The sequence below is a fragment of the Homo sapiens genome, chromosome 1 (genome assembly GCF_000001405.40).
Source record: "Homo sapiens chromosome 1, GRCh38.p14 Primary Assembly".
Lineage (NCBI taxonomy): Eukaryota > Metazoa > Chordata > Mammalia > Primates > Hominidae > Homo > Homo sapiens.
Genome location: NC_000001.11, coordinates 143,480,935 through 143,497,775, shown reverse-complemented (window position 1 = coordinate 143,497,775; position 16,841 = coordinate 143,480,935). Strand labels below are relative to the sequence as shown.

Sequence of the window (16,841 nt, the reverse complement as noted above, 5' to 3'; positions counted from 1 at the left end):
AAGGCGGCGGGGGGCAAAAAGCCGCAGCGGCGGGGGGCGGGCAAAAAGCCGCGGCGACAAAACTCGCAACGGCGAGGGGTCAAAAAGCCGGGGCGGACTAAAAGCCCTGGCGCCGGGGCGGCGGGGGCGCAAAAAGCCGCAGCGGCGGGTGGGGGCAGAAAGCCGCAGCGGCGATGGGGCAAAAAGCCACGGCGGCGGGGGTAAAAAGTCGCTGCGGGCAAAAAGTCGCGGCGGCGGGGAGAAAAAGGCGCGGCGGGCAAAAAGCCGTGGCGCAGGGGGACAAAAAGCCGCGGCGGGGGGTGGGGAAGCCACGGCGGGCAAAAAGCCGCGGCGGCGAGGGGCACAAAGCCCCGGCGGGCAAAAACCCGAGGCGGGGTGGGGTCTAAAAGCCGAGGCGGCTGGGGGTAAAAAGCCGAGGCGGGTAAAAAGCCGTGGGGGCAGGGGGGAAAAAGCCACGGCGGCGGGGGGGCAAAAAGCGGAGGGGGGCAAAATGCCGCAGCAGCGGGGGACAAAAAGCCGCGGCGGCAAAATTCGCAGCGGCGAGGGGTCAAAAAGCCGCGGCGGGCTAAAAGCCCTGGCGCCGGGGGGCACAAAGCAGCGGCGGGCAAAAAGCCTAGGCGGGGTGGGGGGAATAAGCCGCGGCGGCGGGGGGGCGGGAAAAAGCCGCGGCGGTGGCGGCGGAGGGCGAAATAATGGAGATGGAGTGGAAGGCCGGCACAGCTTGGCATTGCTGGAGTGCGATGTGATAGGAAATGTGCAGCCAAAGACAAAAAGATGTAAGTAGGCTTGACTCATTGAAGCTAAGAACCCAGATGTTATCTTGAGGGTATTAACTAATAAGCAGTTTAAATCAGAATGGCACATTCTGATTTGTTTCTTGTACGTTCACATTTGGCAGGCATAGATACTGTTTGAAGAGAGAAAAGTCAGTAGAGAGAGGTAACAAACTTAAATATGTGCCAAGTCTAGAAACAAGAGACCAGGGGGATAGGGACCTTTCAAAATAAAATGCAAGATTTGAAAACTGATTGGCTGGGGGATGAGGAAAAGGCAGGTCTTTAAGGTCCACCCCTGTTTTGCTTTAAGTTGTTAGGGGGTGGTTTTATCACATGTTGTAGAATATGTCATTTCAGTTTTGAACATCTTGAGTTAAATTGTCCTAGCATATCTTATGAATTTGATTTTCTTCCCTGGAAAGCTAATATTTCAAACACTTAAAGAGTATATAGATTTCCAACTTGTATCCAGTTTATAAAACTATCTCTAGGCTGCTGATTTCAGGAGGAGGCTTATGAGTATTCTCCTTGCAGAGAATATATCAGGAGTTAACAGCAGCTTCAATATTTGTGGATGACCGGTTAACTAAGCCACCTCTTAGTGTCTTTAGTTGGGAAATCTTAGCTGAAGATATTCAATAATGAACCAAGAGTGACTAAGAAATTCAATATTTAAGTATATTTCATTGTAATTAATTTGAATTGAAGTAGCCATATACAGCTAGTATTTACTATATTGAACAATGCAAATAAGAGGAAAAAATTAATAACCATCTCTAATACCACAGGCCAAAATCCTCATCAATTTATTCTAGCTAAAGGAGTTGATCAGAAGCAGCAGTTGAAAGCACCAACTAAACCCAGCTGGGGTTAGTTCACTGTCATTCTCTCAGAACCGTCTCTTCTCTGAACAAAACAAGTACAAGAGTTCATTGTGAATCTGCATTCTCCTTGCCTATTTTAAGGTTTTGATGTTGACGCAAATTTGTGAAATCCCTCCTGTGGTGTGATATTTCGTTTTCCTTGCTTTGTGTTAGGACAAGAATGCTTCAGCTCTTAATTTAAAATTATGTTTCTCCCTCCTAGGTTGAGTGAACTTAGAATGCATTCTCTGACATATCCAAGATTTTGTTAATATGAATTTCGGGATAAAAGCATACTTAATTAGCTAAGACGTCTTATTCTAAGCTTGACCCTATGTTCGACATCTTTTGAATTTCTGGTTGTGTGGGCTGCTCTCTGACACTGGTTAGTGACCTGGAAGCTCTATTAATGTTAGGGGAGGTGGTGTATGAGCATTAGAGGTATCCTTGCAAGGAAAGACTTGTCTTATCTCAATACGTCTTTTTTTTTGCACACAAGAAAGTCAATGTCTGAGTCTTCTAAAATCTTCCTATTTCCAAATTGCAGATTATGATTGATTCCTAAACAAAGACCTAATTTTTGACTCAGAGACGTGGCAAGCTAGTGAATCACCGTTATAATTTAACAATCTTCAAGATAAAATTATCTCTGATATTTAGATTTTGCCCAATTATTAAGATATTTGGGTGTTTCGTTAAGAATGGAAAACTCTAGTCTCTTGAGCAGAGACTATAAAGGCCTCAGATGATCATTTTTAATTTTATGCTCTTTTCTTTAACACCTTCAACACAGTTGGAAACAGCCGATATTCCGCAGAGTTGTTGTGTTTTTTAAACCAAATGCATGGTTCAGTGGTAGAAAACTGGGCTGATCCAAGCTGTTTTCAGTAAACACTTCATTTCAGGTGACCCATTTCATATTAAATAATCTCTAGATCCTGTCTTCGAAACTAACTAGATCAGATAAACTACCCTGGATTTTCTCTTTTTAGGGTCTGAGAGCTGCAGTCACTTTTGTGAACATGATTACAATGACAAGATAGAGTTGTAGATGGGGAAAATGTTTTGACTAATTTAAGCATAGTGGTATTTCATATGAGAATTTAAGTTACACACATTTGAAAATTATAATGGAGTCTCTTGGCTGAGCTTTAAAAAGAAATAGCGTTTAGGCTAAAAAGGGAACTGCTACCTCTCCTAAAATCAGAAAGATGTTACAGTAATTCTCCATTCTCTAGAATTATCAAGAAGCACCTTTGTGATGATTTACTTTTGCTCTTGCGACTGTGAGCCCGTGTAGTCGTGGAACCATCAATTAGAATGGTGGCTTTCTGATCCCAAAGTCACTCGTTCTGAAAACAATATTTTTCATAAATTTGAAAGTGAGAAGTTTTGATCTTGCCATTCCCAAGTAACTCTCTTAATAAGAGGCATCAGCATGCTTCAGTGACAGCTGTCACCTTCCATTGCTGAGAGTCATCTTTGAGTTCTCTATTTCACTCCCTACACTCCAATTTAGCTGCAGTTCTCTTGGCCAGTCCTATGAAATACATCCATGGCCTAACGACTTCTCACCACTACTACCACTCATGCTGACAGCATTCTCACCTAAGTCACTACCTTTTTTCACTGGATTAGAGTAGCCTCCCAATTTATTTGCTCACATAACCTATTTATTCTACACAGTGCACCAGATACACCCCTTTGAAATGCAAACACAATCATTTTATTCTCTGGTGAAATTATCTCATATATTCCTATCGCATTTAAAATTAATTCAGAATCATCCCATGATTATCAAAACCCTACATGCTCTTCCACAACATGGTTTACTTCCAAGATATCTCTTCAACATTTTTTTCACTGTACTGAATTGGTGACTAATAGTCATATTTTTGTTTTTGCTCAAAAAGTCTTGACTTGTAAATTTTTCAGTTTCTCCTTTATCCACAGGTAACTCTTTCCTGATAAGGCGAATTGCTTGCTTCCTTGAATTCTGCTCTCAAAGATACCCTTCACTTTCTACCTAATATTAATAACTTTAATCATTCATTATTCCATTACTATGCTCTATGGTGTATACAATTTCTGTTCTTTGTCATGTTATTAACTAAATTATTTATTGGGTCCAGTAACGTATTCCATAAATATTGTACACATAAAAATTGTGTTATTTTTATTCCTGTATGCTCAGCTGCCCAATAACAGTCTGAGGATTAACATATTTGTTAAATGCACAAATACATTCTTTCACAAATATTAGTTTAATAATTTTATATTAAACTCCCTCTATACTTACAATATGAATTAGATAATTCAGAATAAACATTCCATTGGAAAAAGCTACACAATTTGTTATAAAACATCCTTAAAAGCATCAGAAAATTAATACAGCAATGAAGAATTACAGGACCAAATTAAGAATGGCATGAAAGCCTGTTTGTGACGCTTATGTTTGGGTTATCTCTTTATTTGAGTGACTATAAATCTCAAAAGAGAACTAAAGGGAGAAATAACCGTATCTACTAACACGCTAAGGGTACTTAAACATCTCTTAGTAATTGAGAAAATTGAAAGAAAAGAAAAAAGAGAAAGGGAGAAAGAGAAACAGCGAAAGGGATAATGAAGGAGAGAAAGAAGAAGAGAAAGGAAGAGGAAGAAAAGTAAAAAGGAGGAGGAGGGGGAAGGAAGAAGGCACAATCACAGCTCACTGCAGTCTCGACCTTCCAGGCTCAAATGATCCTCCCACCTCAGCATCCCAAGTAGCTCACACTACAGGCACCCACCACCACACCAAGCTAATTTTTATTTTTTTTGTAGAGATGGAGTCTCACTATATTGCCCAGGCTGGTCTTGAACTACTGTAGTCAAGTGGTCCTCCCACCTGAGCCTCCCAAAGTGCTGGGATTACAAGCATAAGCCACCATACTTGGTGAGATATGAATTTCTAGGAAAAAAAATCAAAATTGACTCAAAAAGTAGAAAAAAAACTTACATAGATTAAATATATTGAATCAGTAATGAAAAAACTTCCCATAAAGAAATTTCCAGGCCCAAGTGCCTTCACCAAAAAGTTCCATGAAACATACAAGAGAAACAAACCAACCAACCAAACAACAACAACAAAAAAAACTCTGCCACCAACACAGAGAATAAAAAAAGAAGACTCCCGAGTTCATTTTACAAGGTTAAAATAAAAATAACCTTGATATCAAAACCCAACAAGGCAAGTGCAAGAGAAAATATTTACAGGCCATCATTATTCAACGTGGATCAGCAATTATTTTTAAGATGTACTGGCCAGGTGTGGTGGTCATGCCTATAATCCTAGTATTTTGGGAGGCCCGAGTGAGAGGATGGCCTGAGCTCAGGAGTTTGAGACCAGCCTGGGCAACAAGGCAAAATCACGTCTTTATAAAAAATACAAAAATTAGCTGGGCATGGCAGCACACCTATAGACCCAGCTATTCGGGAGGCTGAGGTGGGAGGATCACTTGAGCCTAGCAGGTTGAGAATGCAGTGATCCCTGATCATGCCACTGTGCTCCAGCCTGGGCAACAGAGTGAGACCCTGTCTCAAAACAACAACAGAAAGATATGCTGACCGCCTGTGATGCTGGCCAGGATGGCGTATGCATGCTACGGCCTGTCATTTCCACTGATCACAATTTGAAACTCTGGACAAAATATAAATAGCAATGACCCAAGTACTCTGAAAAGTAACCAGCAGACAGGTTGGGAAACGTCAAAACCTGAAGAATTATCTGGATGGTGGTGGTGAGAGATCATATTCTGGGTCATAAAACAAACCCTAAAGTTAAACAATTAAAATTCAGTGAATTATTTTCTCTGATGACAGAATTAAACTAGGAATCTAGAACATTTCTAGAACATCCCCAAATATGAGAAGTTAAATGGCATACTTCTAAATGGCCCATAGGTCAAAGAGAGTATCTTAAGACAAATTGGAAAACAGTTTGAACTTAATAAATATGACATCATCTTATCAAAATATGTGCTTACAGGGCAATTTATGGCACTAAATTATGAGAAATGAAGCATCAAATCAATAATGTAAGCATTTACTTTAAGTAAAAAAAGAACCAAATAAACTCAAATCAGGCATAAGAAAAACAGACTAAATCAGTAATATTTAAACAAAAACAGTAAAGGAAAAAAATTCAACGAAATCCAAAGTTGGTTCTTTGCAAGGGCGGTGGGAGGTGGAAGTCAATCAAATGAGGAAGCCTCTAGCAGACTGACAAAGGAAGAAGAGAAAACACAAATTGCCAATACCAGAAATGAAAGGAATATTATTACAAATCCTGTAGACACTAGAAGGCTAGAATGGACACTACAAAAACAAAACAAACAACTATATGCTTCTAAATTCTACAAATTAGGTGAAATAGATCAATTCCTTGAAAGACAGACTACCGAAACTCAAGAAGAAACAGACAGCTTGAATACCCCTGTATTTATTAAAGAAACAGAAGTGGCACAGCACTTTGGAAGACAATTTGGCAGGTTCTGATAAAGTCAAACGTACATGGACCATGTGACTCGGCAATCCTACCCTTAGGCATTTGCACAAGTGAAATGAAAACCTATGCTCAGACAAAAAGCACTTTGTGAATTCCAATCCACTTATAATTTATCAAAAAGTGAAAATAGTCCATATTCCTCCAATGACAAACCAATAAGCAAACCATGTAGTATTTATACAATGGATTACTATTTGGCAATTAAAAGGAATAACTGTTGATACAGTATATGAAAGTAGCCAGACTCAAAAGGCTACATCCTGAACGATTCCATTTGTATAAAATTCTGAAAAAAAAGCAATGCCAGAGGAACACAGATCAGTTATTGCCAGAAGTTTACAATGGAAGGTTTTACTATAAAGGGCAAGGTAATTTTTGGAGTGATCATATAATTTTGTAATCTACCAAAAACAAACATAATAAATGGGCAGATAAGTAAAGTTCATGGATTGGAAAGTTCAATATTGCAAAGGTCTCCCAAAAATGACCTATCAATTTAATCCCAGTGGAAATTCCAATCAGTTTTGTGAAGGCTGCTAAGTCAACTCTAAAATGGCCAAGAATAGACAAGATCACCGGAGAGGAAGCAGGGAGGTGGACACAAATATCTTCTGATTGATGAGTGAAATCATTAGAAGGCCAGCAAAAATACAAGTAAGCCAGAATTTCTAAAGCACCACAAAAGAACACTAGTTAGTAGTGCATAAAGGTATCTCCTAAATTTGTTGTAAACATAGGCCTTTAAAAAAATATTAGAAACTGATATTTAAAGAGATATAAACTCATATTAATCTTTTAAAAAATTCTAAGCAAGGGCCTCACCTAATTTCATAAAAGGTTGCGTAGAACCAACCATTGCTGCAAACGATGTGCTGCCCTGAGATGTGAGGATCCCAGTGGTCCCTCTGGGTCAACAGCAGCTACCGCAGGTGAGCCCAAATTCTGATACATTATCTATCTACAATCATTATTTTTAACAATTTATATCAATGCTACCCATAAGGCACAGAGAAGCAGAAATGTTTATGTGGCCTCCTGCCAAAAACAATCACTTGCACTTATTTCTAGTACTCCAGAAGACAGTAATAGAAGTTTTTCAATTTAGAAAAACATTTACAGCAAAGAAAAAAATCTCTGTAAACTTCCTGCTTAACCAATCTAGTGAATTGTGATGAGCCATATAAATTCATTTAGCCACCTTATGAAAGACTTAATCCAAAGTCACTTCTAACTTCTAGAAGAGCTAATGTATTATAATCACAGTTGTGAAAGACTCAAAGGCCAGAAATGTCAAGGTGTGGTCTATATCCTAAGTCCAGAAAAAAAAACAAAAAGCAACATGTACAGGCCAAATGATTGCCAATTTCTTCTGCCTACGTCATCTTTCTTCACTATAGCCTGAAATTACATTTCATGTTTGACAATTCTCAGCAAGGAGACAAAACAAGCTTATGAGTAAAATAATAGAAAGCAGAGCCACAGAGAGGACGAGAGGCAGGAGTCATCTCCCAAGTCCAAGTTCAACTTCTATATTATTAGACAAGGCCTCAGTGTCTTTGAACTGCAAGGAATTAATATTGATTGTAGCATGAGTAAAATCTATCTTCTACTCATCATGAAAAGTCACAGTCGTTTTGTTTAAAGACTCCAGAATTATTATAGGCAGAAACAAGTAGGTTCCACACCTATTTGGTGAAACGAGGAATCAGGAATGAGCATTCCCAAGAGAATACAATTACAAAAGTAAAATCACCTAGAGTTTTTGGGCTGCTTAAAAAACCCAGAAAGAAGTGCCAAATGGGAAAATAATCAAATTCAGTGGAAAAACTCACTTGAAGGTATCATGGTCAGCTGGGTTTCCACCCCTTTGTTGCACTTCAAATCCTGTGTATTCCACAAAGACTTGCTCCTTTCTAAAGGCTATGGTTCACATTCAACAGAATAGCAGCAACCACCATGAGCCTGAGGGCTGGCTAGTCTTTAGTATTCTGCCTTATTCAAAGAAAGGATCATTTCCCTCATTCCTAAAGATCTCCCAGGTCCATCACAAAAAAAAAAGGAGCAGCAGCCAGGCGCAATGGCTCACACCTGTAATCCCAGCACTTTGAGAGGCCAAGGGGGGAGGATCACCTGAGGTCGAGAGTTCAAGATCAGCCTGGCCAACATGATGAAACTAAAAATACAAAAATCAGCCGGGTGTGGTGGTGTGTGCCTGTAATCCCAGCTACTTTGGAGCTGGGTAACTGGCAGAGGTTGAACAATTTGCAGGTCTCAGAAGACAGGAAAATGTGGGAAAGTTTGAAATTCCAAGAGACTTGTTGAATGGCTTTGACCAAAATGCTGATAATGATATGGACAATGAAATCCATGCTGAGGCAGTCTCTGATGGAGATGAGGAACTTGCTGGGAACTGGAGCAAAGGTGACTCTTGTCACCTTTGATAAGATGGTGGTTGAGGAGAGGTCTTGGCAAGCAGTGATGTGTGAATGTAGTGAGGGGCCTGAAAATGGAACTCAGAGAGGACACTGGGTTTTAGAGGCTGAAACTACAGAAAGTCCGCTGCGTTCAAGGCCTGCTTCCACCAAAATCTAGCAGTGTGGCCTCAAACCATTTCATTTCTCTTGGCCTCAGTTTCTACATCTGCAAAATGGGATTTATAATCCCACCCCAGCCCACAGAATTCAGAGTTATATGAGAAGGCTAGAAGAGCTCACCTACCAAGGGACTCTTAATGGCAAGGTGGGGAAACTGAGGCACCGAGAGGGCTAGGGCTCTGCTAGCTGTCACCCAGAGTCTGATGGACCTGAGATGAGAAACCAGAACTCCTGCCCCTAGTTCCCCCGGCTTTCCTCAGGCTGGGGAGTGAGTGCGGTGAGATAGAAAGGGCAAGCCCTCCTGCTGTTTCTCTCTGGACAGGGGCGGGATGCTGGGTGAAGGGTGAAAGGAAGAGGCTGGAGAAGGGAGAAAAGCTCCAGCTCACACTAAGTCTGAATTTTTTTAAAATGCGGACTCCGTGGCCCCTCCCTTACCCGCCCCAATCCTCTCTGAAGTCCTGGTTGTGAGGGGCCAAGTCCCAAAGTCTGCTGCTCCGCCTCTCTGTGTGCAGAGCCATGGGGCCTTCACAGGCTGCAGTGGGTCCCGAGCCCCCAGGGCTGTGCCTGCTGGTCCTGACCAAGATCGCGGCTGCCGAGGTCAGTCCAGCGCCAAGGGCACAGGGCCAGGGCAGGCGGGGCAGGGCTACCCGAAGCGCATAGAGGCTGCTGGTGTCAACGTGACGTCTTCTGGGGCGCCTGGCATCCCTAGGAGTGGAAGCCGCTGATGAAGTCAAAGCTGCCTCCTCCTTCAGGAAGACTTTGCTCCCATAGCTGGCGAACAGGAAGCGGAGCAGCGCCAGGAGGATCTGCGGGCGCTGCTGAGGGCTTCTTTGCAGGGACAGTGCAGCAGGCAGCCAGGGACAAGACTGCACGGCAGCCCCCCATGGCCAGGGGAAGCTCAGAACCGGAGTCGCCCGCTGCCCGGCGATTCTCCATCCCTGGATCGGTACAGGGGCATTTGGACGCTGTGGGGAAGTCGCGGTCTGGGGATATTGGGTCCAGCCTTCGGGTAGAAGCAGGTGATAAACGCACTCAGGCCAGCCCGGAGCGTCAGCCACACTGCGGTGCCCACGATGCCCAGGGTGAGCGCCACGAGGCGCAGGAAATTGGCTAGGGTGGGAGCTCACTGGTAGGCGGCCCTGGAAGTCAAAGATCTGCTGCTCCAGCGCTGCCACCAGTTGCAGGCAGCAGAAGGCGAGGAGCGTGTGGCACCCGCGTACTCGCCCATCGCTCCGCGGACCTCTTTATCCAACCTTCAATAATTATTCTTTTTATTATATTCAATGATTATTCTACTTTTCATAGAGAGCAGCTGTCAGTCCAATAACACACTTAACAAATGATATACCTAGTCCTCAAGGTTAACAAACACATGAAGACCAGCCCAACCCTGAAAATCAGTTTGCAAACCTTCGCTATATCTGATGCCATTCCTAAAAATTTTTAGGGACAAGTTTTGTTTGTGGTAAACAACATAAGGTGGGGTGTGTGCTGAGCCCAAAGCTGACCAATTGCTCACAATTACTCATAACTACCCATTGACTTGATTTTATCAAACTTCAGACAGTCTTGTCTCCTCTCCTCAGGCCCCTGGACCTTGGCTCACCACCTAAGACTGAACAAGCACTAAAGGACAGACCAGCCCGCTAACAGCTCACTCCAAAAATGAGCGGGACTCCCAGAGAAACTATTTTTATTGGAGCATCCTGGTTTTGCCACCTGCTCACCCCACTGCCTGTTCTTCTCTCCAAGGAGGCTTCTGCCAGCCCTGCTTGTCCTTCCCTAGAAAAGGAAAGCCTTTTCCTGTTTGATCCTGAGACACCTGTAGATTGAGTTTGGAATATTCTCCCTATTGCAATAGTATTTTTGAATAAGTTTTATTTTTCCCTACCTCTGGTTGATTTTTAATTAATACCAGTAAGCTTGGATGAAAGCCTGCACACCTTAGGTGTGTGTGTGTGTGTGTATGTATGTACTTTAGCATTATCATAAAGTAATAACAGTAAAATCAAACAAACACAGATGGATAAGCAATATGTTGGACTAGTATGAAAATGGCATTGCCAGCAGTGATATGATTTTTTTTTCAAAATGGTACACTTTTTGAAGTATAATCTTATTTTAACCTAAAATCTTACTATCAGAAAATGCAGTGTACATTAAAATGTTCTGAACTGCTTTTATTCATATATTAAATGGTTGTACTCAAATATCTACAAATTTGTTTTTCACTTATGTAATTGTCTTATAGAATGTTCAAAAGTCTTGCAGAATGTGAGACAATTTTCTATTGAATACGATCGCTTTATCATTGCAAGACATCAAACATCCCTGTTTCCTGCCAAATAAATGTACAATAGCAATAAATGTAAAGATGTGTTTTGTAAAAAAGATATATTTTTGAGTTACAAAACAAGGATTTTAAAACTTGAATTGTTACAGTGAATATGTCTTAATACAGGCCAGAGTCATTTAGGTAAAAAATTACCTCATATCTATTCTTTGCAGTATCACTTAAAGGTGTTTATTTAGCGGCAAAGATTTTTTTTTTTTGTGCCTAGAGGCAGATATTTTGCCCCATGGCTATTTACGGTATGAAACTGTATTTAAATGAGTGTACATACATAAAAGCTGCCATTCTGGCTGTAAACTATTGCAGGTTATCAAGATTAAAAAATAAACAAATAAAAATATTTCAGTTTTTCTATGAAATGTCTTTACTCGAGTCCAAATGTAGAGATATAAAATGCTTGAAATTCATAAAACCAAGTGTTTCACATATTTCAGTTGTGATGGCCTTTGTCCTACTTTTGTTAGTGAAGCAGGCAGACTGCATTTTTTCCCTCTCATACATCTTCAAATGGTAGACAGAAAAATTTGATAAAACTTCTAGGGCATTATCTGATGAAACACATTAAACACTAAAGGAGAAATACAACTTCATTGTTTATAAAAGACGTATAAGAAGGAAACCTGCATACATATATCTATCAGTTTTGTATTTTCAAGAAATATTTGCCTTAAAATGAACTTCATTAGAATATGTGTTCTCCCACAGAGCCAAGGAAAGTAAGTTAGACACAGGATCTGGAAGTCTACCTGTGTGATGTAATTACATTGAAAACATTCCACAAATAATGCAGAAATGTATCATTGTGACCCAAAATATTCTCTAAATTTTCTCAAAGCAATGTGGCCACATCTATTATCTTTTACTATGACTAGTCATCATTCCATGCATTTGAACATTACCTCACCCATTTGCAGCCTCCTATCTCTGCAATTAATTATGGCTAACATTCTCAGCAGTCCAAACATCTTGCAAGTGACAGCTTGAAAAGGCCTACCAGAATGATGTTCACTCTGCCACCTGACTAGCTTGTCTTCCATCTAGACATTGCAGTATGTAGAAGAGTGCTTTTAGTATTATAAATTTGATCCAACACGTGTTCAATTAGATGAAATCTTAAATATTGCACTACATGTGAATTGGGAAAATGTTAATTTACTTCTGTAGTTTTAAGTGTATTCTCAGAGGCAGATGAAGACATATTACATCACTGAGTTCAAGAAATAAAGTAAATAGAAGAAAAAAGGTGTTATTTTAGTTTGGTTATGTTTATATTTGAAGTTTTCTTATCATACCTTATTTTTCGTTTATTAATTCTAGGGTAGAGTAGAAAAATATGCTCTCATATAATATAAAAATGATATGGGGAAAAGAAGTAAAAAATTAACTTAGAGACACCATTAATTAATTTCTTTTATAAATGAAACACTAGATAGTTTCTATTTGTTTTGACAAATAGATAATATATTTAGAATCAATGCTTTATTTCTTGGAAAGTGGAGTGAAAAATTTAAATGTAGTATTCAGATTGTATTATAACTGTGCACTACAGATCACATACATTTGTCTTTTCTTTGTATTATACATTATTTAATGGTAAGCATCCTTTCAAGGGCTATTTTATATAAGTAGTAAGGTATCTGGAATTTCTGAAATAATAAAAGTGACCTAAATCACTGTGTTTGGTAAATTCACAATACCCAAATAGCAGGAGGGGAGTGCTAGAGGTAGGGAGGAGAATGCTCATGTTCTCATTATTCCCAAACAGATTCTTAAAGTCTTCTCACTGGACACATGGATGCACCTCTGTAATACCCAATGTCTTAGCCACAACTGTCTGCACTTTTTAATGAGATACATTTCAACATTATTCCTTGTCACCTCAATATCAGATACTTTCTCATGTAATCTTTTACTTCTGAGGAGTTGAATTCTTGATCCATAAACTGAATCCATAGCTATGCATCTGTGGATGTTTTTAAATTATGTGAAAATTTTGTATATGCATTTTTCAGGGGAAAGTATCAGATCACCCACCTGGTGATTGTAACAAAAACAATCACTCCTGTTGGTATTTAAGTCTTAATTAATTCAGAAAAATTTGCACACACCCTAAGGTCAGATAGTATTTTGTACCCTACATATAAAAACTCCTTTTTTTTTTTTTTGAGATGGAGTCTCACTCTGTTGCCCAGGTTGGAGTGCACTGGCATGATCTTTGCTCACTGCAAACTCTGCCTCCCATAACATTAATGATCACTGATCACAGATCACCGTAACGAATATAATAATAAGGAAATATTTTAAAAATTGTGAAGATTAACAAAGTGTGAAACCAAGACACAAAGTGAGCACAGGCTGTTTGTTAAATGGCACCAATAGACTTGCTTCACCAGGGTTGTCACAAACATCTCATTTGTAAATAAAGAAAAAATGTTCCTATCTGTGAAGCACAATAAAGAGAAGTGCAATAAAATATGTTTGTATTAATTTGGTTAACTTTATTCCAACTTAATGTAAATTAGTTTTAAAACAGTTTATAAAATTCTTAAATGAACCTGGCAAATTTAGAGCAATAATAAAATTATTTAAATTAGAAAAGTCTTTTTTAAAAAGGATAAATAACAAATGTCTCATTGGAATTATTAAAGTTGTTTCAAGTTCAGCTCTGAGGTTCTTAGAAACTAAAGTAAAAAAGTATGACCAGTTTCTGAAGTCAAGATAAAATCATACAATCTTTAACTTAGAAAATTATCTTCTGTGTTGTGTCCTAAGCATAAACAAATGTAAGGACTTGCCCTGACACTCTGTAAGTAGTTCCACTCCAATACGCCCTGCAGAAATATTTCCTGGCAAGAACAGCAAGTCAGAAGCCTTTTCAGCATGGCAAGGAGGGAGAGAGACTATGCTATTAAAAAAAAAAAAAAAAAGATGAGGAGGAACAATAGCACCTTAGACAAGTGAGAAGTTTCAAAAGAGACATATAAGGAGAGCAGTTGCAATTATAAGGAGCAAAATATGGAATGATGAAAAAAGATACTTTAAAGAAAGTTTTCCTCAGTACTTTGCAATGCGCTTGCCACCTTCTGAAGAAAGCTGGCTCCTTCTGGAACCTTAGGGTATTTGGACTCATGCTTTGGAATGGGGTGACCATCTACATCAAGCTAACTTAAATTCAAATTTGTGTGCATAGGATAAGAATAATTGGGTTAAATAAAATTCACTTTTAATCTAAAATGTCATTCATTAGTTTTGACCAACTTTCCTTACCACTGGCCACTTGGTCCTTGTCTTGTTTGACCAGGGTTGTCAAACAAGGTTTGTTGTTTCCTTCTTTGAAGGAAAGAGTCAGTGTTTCTTCCATTCCAATGCATCCACTTGAGGAATTTTTAATAAAATGGGCAATGAATGGGCAGCAGAAGAAGTTACAGGCCTGCTGATCAAATGCTAAGTAATAAACCCTGGAAATTCTAAACTCGTTTGCATGAAGACCTTGCTTATTTTGTAACTATTATGTATTATCAAATGTATACTTAATTCTTTGAATGTGTTAGTATGTGTTCAAAGTACACCTTAATTTTATATATATATATATTTAAATTACATAAAATAAATAAGCCACTAAAAATTTTTAAACATTTTCTTATATTTCCTTTCAGTATTTTTATGTGCATGCATCTGTACTTGGTAATATTGCTGAATGCATGTTTGCATTGACAAAGCCTCTCCCCTTGCCCAAACTCTAGTTGGGATCCTCTAAGCCACCTCTCAGCCTCAGCTTTCAGTGTTCATCCTAGTCTGACCCACATCTCTCAGGTTTAGGAAGAAACTTGCAAAGAATCCCCCACTCTCAGTACTGATCACCTTTGATATCTGATCAAATTTGTTATCTCCCACCACCCTCCAGATGATTTCTGATCAGTCTGGCCTGCCTTCAGTAAGAATCCTGTTCGATCTGTTTAACCCAAATCCCCTTTGCCCCTGATATTTCCTCTTAGTATCCCCAGTTGAGCCAATTTTCAACCATTAAAAAAATCTTGGACAAAATTAAGTTCAGATAGGTTCCAGAGTGCTTATGTTCAGTTCTTGGCTTTCTGAAGACCTGGCATATCCTCTTTAAATTGCCTCAATATAAGAAAATACAAAATGGAAAGAAGTAGACATTAGAAATTGGAAAAATGGAGAAATACAGGAATAAACATAAGTTTCTATTTCAAGTAATTAGGTAAATTGTAAGATGTTTATATTTAACTTTTTCTCATTAGCTTTAGCCCCTTGAATCTTTGAGAACATGTTATTACTATAGTTATCGAATGTTATATTTTTTATTTTAACGTAGAATGGTATTTTCACTCAAATCTCTTGAAACATATATTTATAGTCAATAGTTAAATTTTATTTAATATCAATTGTTCCTTTTTATTAGTATTTTCTTAAAAAAATAATATTGGCCCAGCGCAGTGGTTCACACCTGTAATCCCAGCACTTTGGGAGGCTAAGGTGGGCAGATCACTTGAGGTCGGGAGTTGGAGACCAGCCTGAGCAACTTGGAGACAACCTTTCTCTACTAAAAATACAAAAATTAGCCGGACGTGGTGGTGCATGCCTGTAATCCCAGCTACTCAGGAGGCTTGAGGCAAGAGAATTGCTTGAACCTGGGAGGTAGAGGTTGCAGTGAGCCGAGATCGCACCACCGCACTCTAGCCTGGGTGACAGAGCGAGACTCCATCTCAAAAAAAAAGAAAGAAAGAAAATGCCAGACATTTATTGAAGGGCTGGAATGGTATAGTGAAGTGTTCTGAGTCAGTTGGGCTCTGATTGATAAAGAGCTTGGCATGTTTGAAGGACAGCAAGGAAGCCAGAATAGCTGGAGCATAGCAGCAGGGAGACAAGTGCCACAAGATGAGCTGGAGAAAGGCACTGGGAAAGGTTTGTCTTTTAAGTGCTCTGAGAAGCAATTGAAGATTTGAAATAGAATAGTGACTTGCTTGATCACATTTGTACTTTTGAAAAGTTCCTCTGGCTGCTGTGGGGAAAGGCTTGAGTAGATGCAGGGTGGGAGAAGCATAACCAGCAGTAGACTCTTGTAGCAGGTTAGGTGAGAGATGGTGGTGGCCACGAGTGGGCTGCTAGTGGTGGAAGTGACAAGAAGCAGAAGGATCGGAGACAAAACTTGAAGATAAAAAGTCTTGAATTTGCTGATGATTTGCATTGACGAGGTGTTGGGGGAGAGGACTGAAGGAGCAGAGGAGAGTGACAAGGGACTGGATGCCATTTATAAGGATGGGGAAGACTGGGATGAAACCGGTTAAGGGAGAAATTTTAACCATGGCAAAATTAAGAGGGGTTTTATGTGAGAAAATGGAAATGCTAAGGAGGAAGTTGAAAATCCTGCTAATTTGGAGATCTTTGATTAAAACTAGAAATAAGAATGTGGGAAGCATCAACTTGCAAGATGCCCTCATTGTAGATAACACCATTTAGGATCTAGGCTCAAGCCCTGGGAAACTCCAGGGCTTTGGAAGTCAAATAGAGGAAGAACACGTACAGGAGATGAAGAAAGATTAGCGAGTAAGTCAGTGAAATATCCACAGGTGGGCTGCTGCCAAATCCAGCAGAACAGTATGCCAGATGTTAGGAGCATGAGTAAAATGAGAAAAGAGAAATGGCTTTTGACAACACTTCCCTACTAATAGTAGGGAAGAAGACATAGGT

General features: G+C 39.7%; 2 pseudogenes; one reads left to right on the top strand and one right to left on the bottom strand.

Moving 5' to 3' along the window:
• Window positions 1-16,841, top strand: part of KMT2CP3 (lysine methyltransferase 2C pseudogene 3) — a 37,547-nt pseudogene that overhangs the window by 992 nt on the left and 19,714 nt on the right.
• On the bottom strand, window positions 8,578-10,114 carry NKAIN1P1 (NKAIN1 pseudogene 1; annotated as a pseudogene).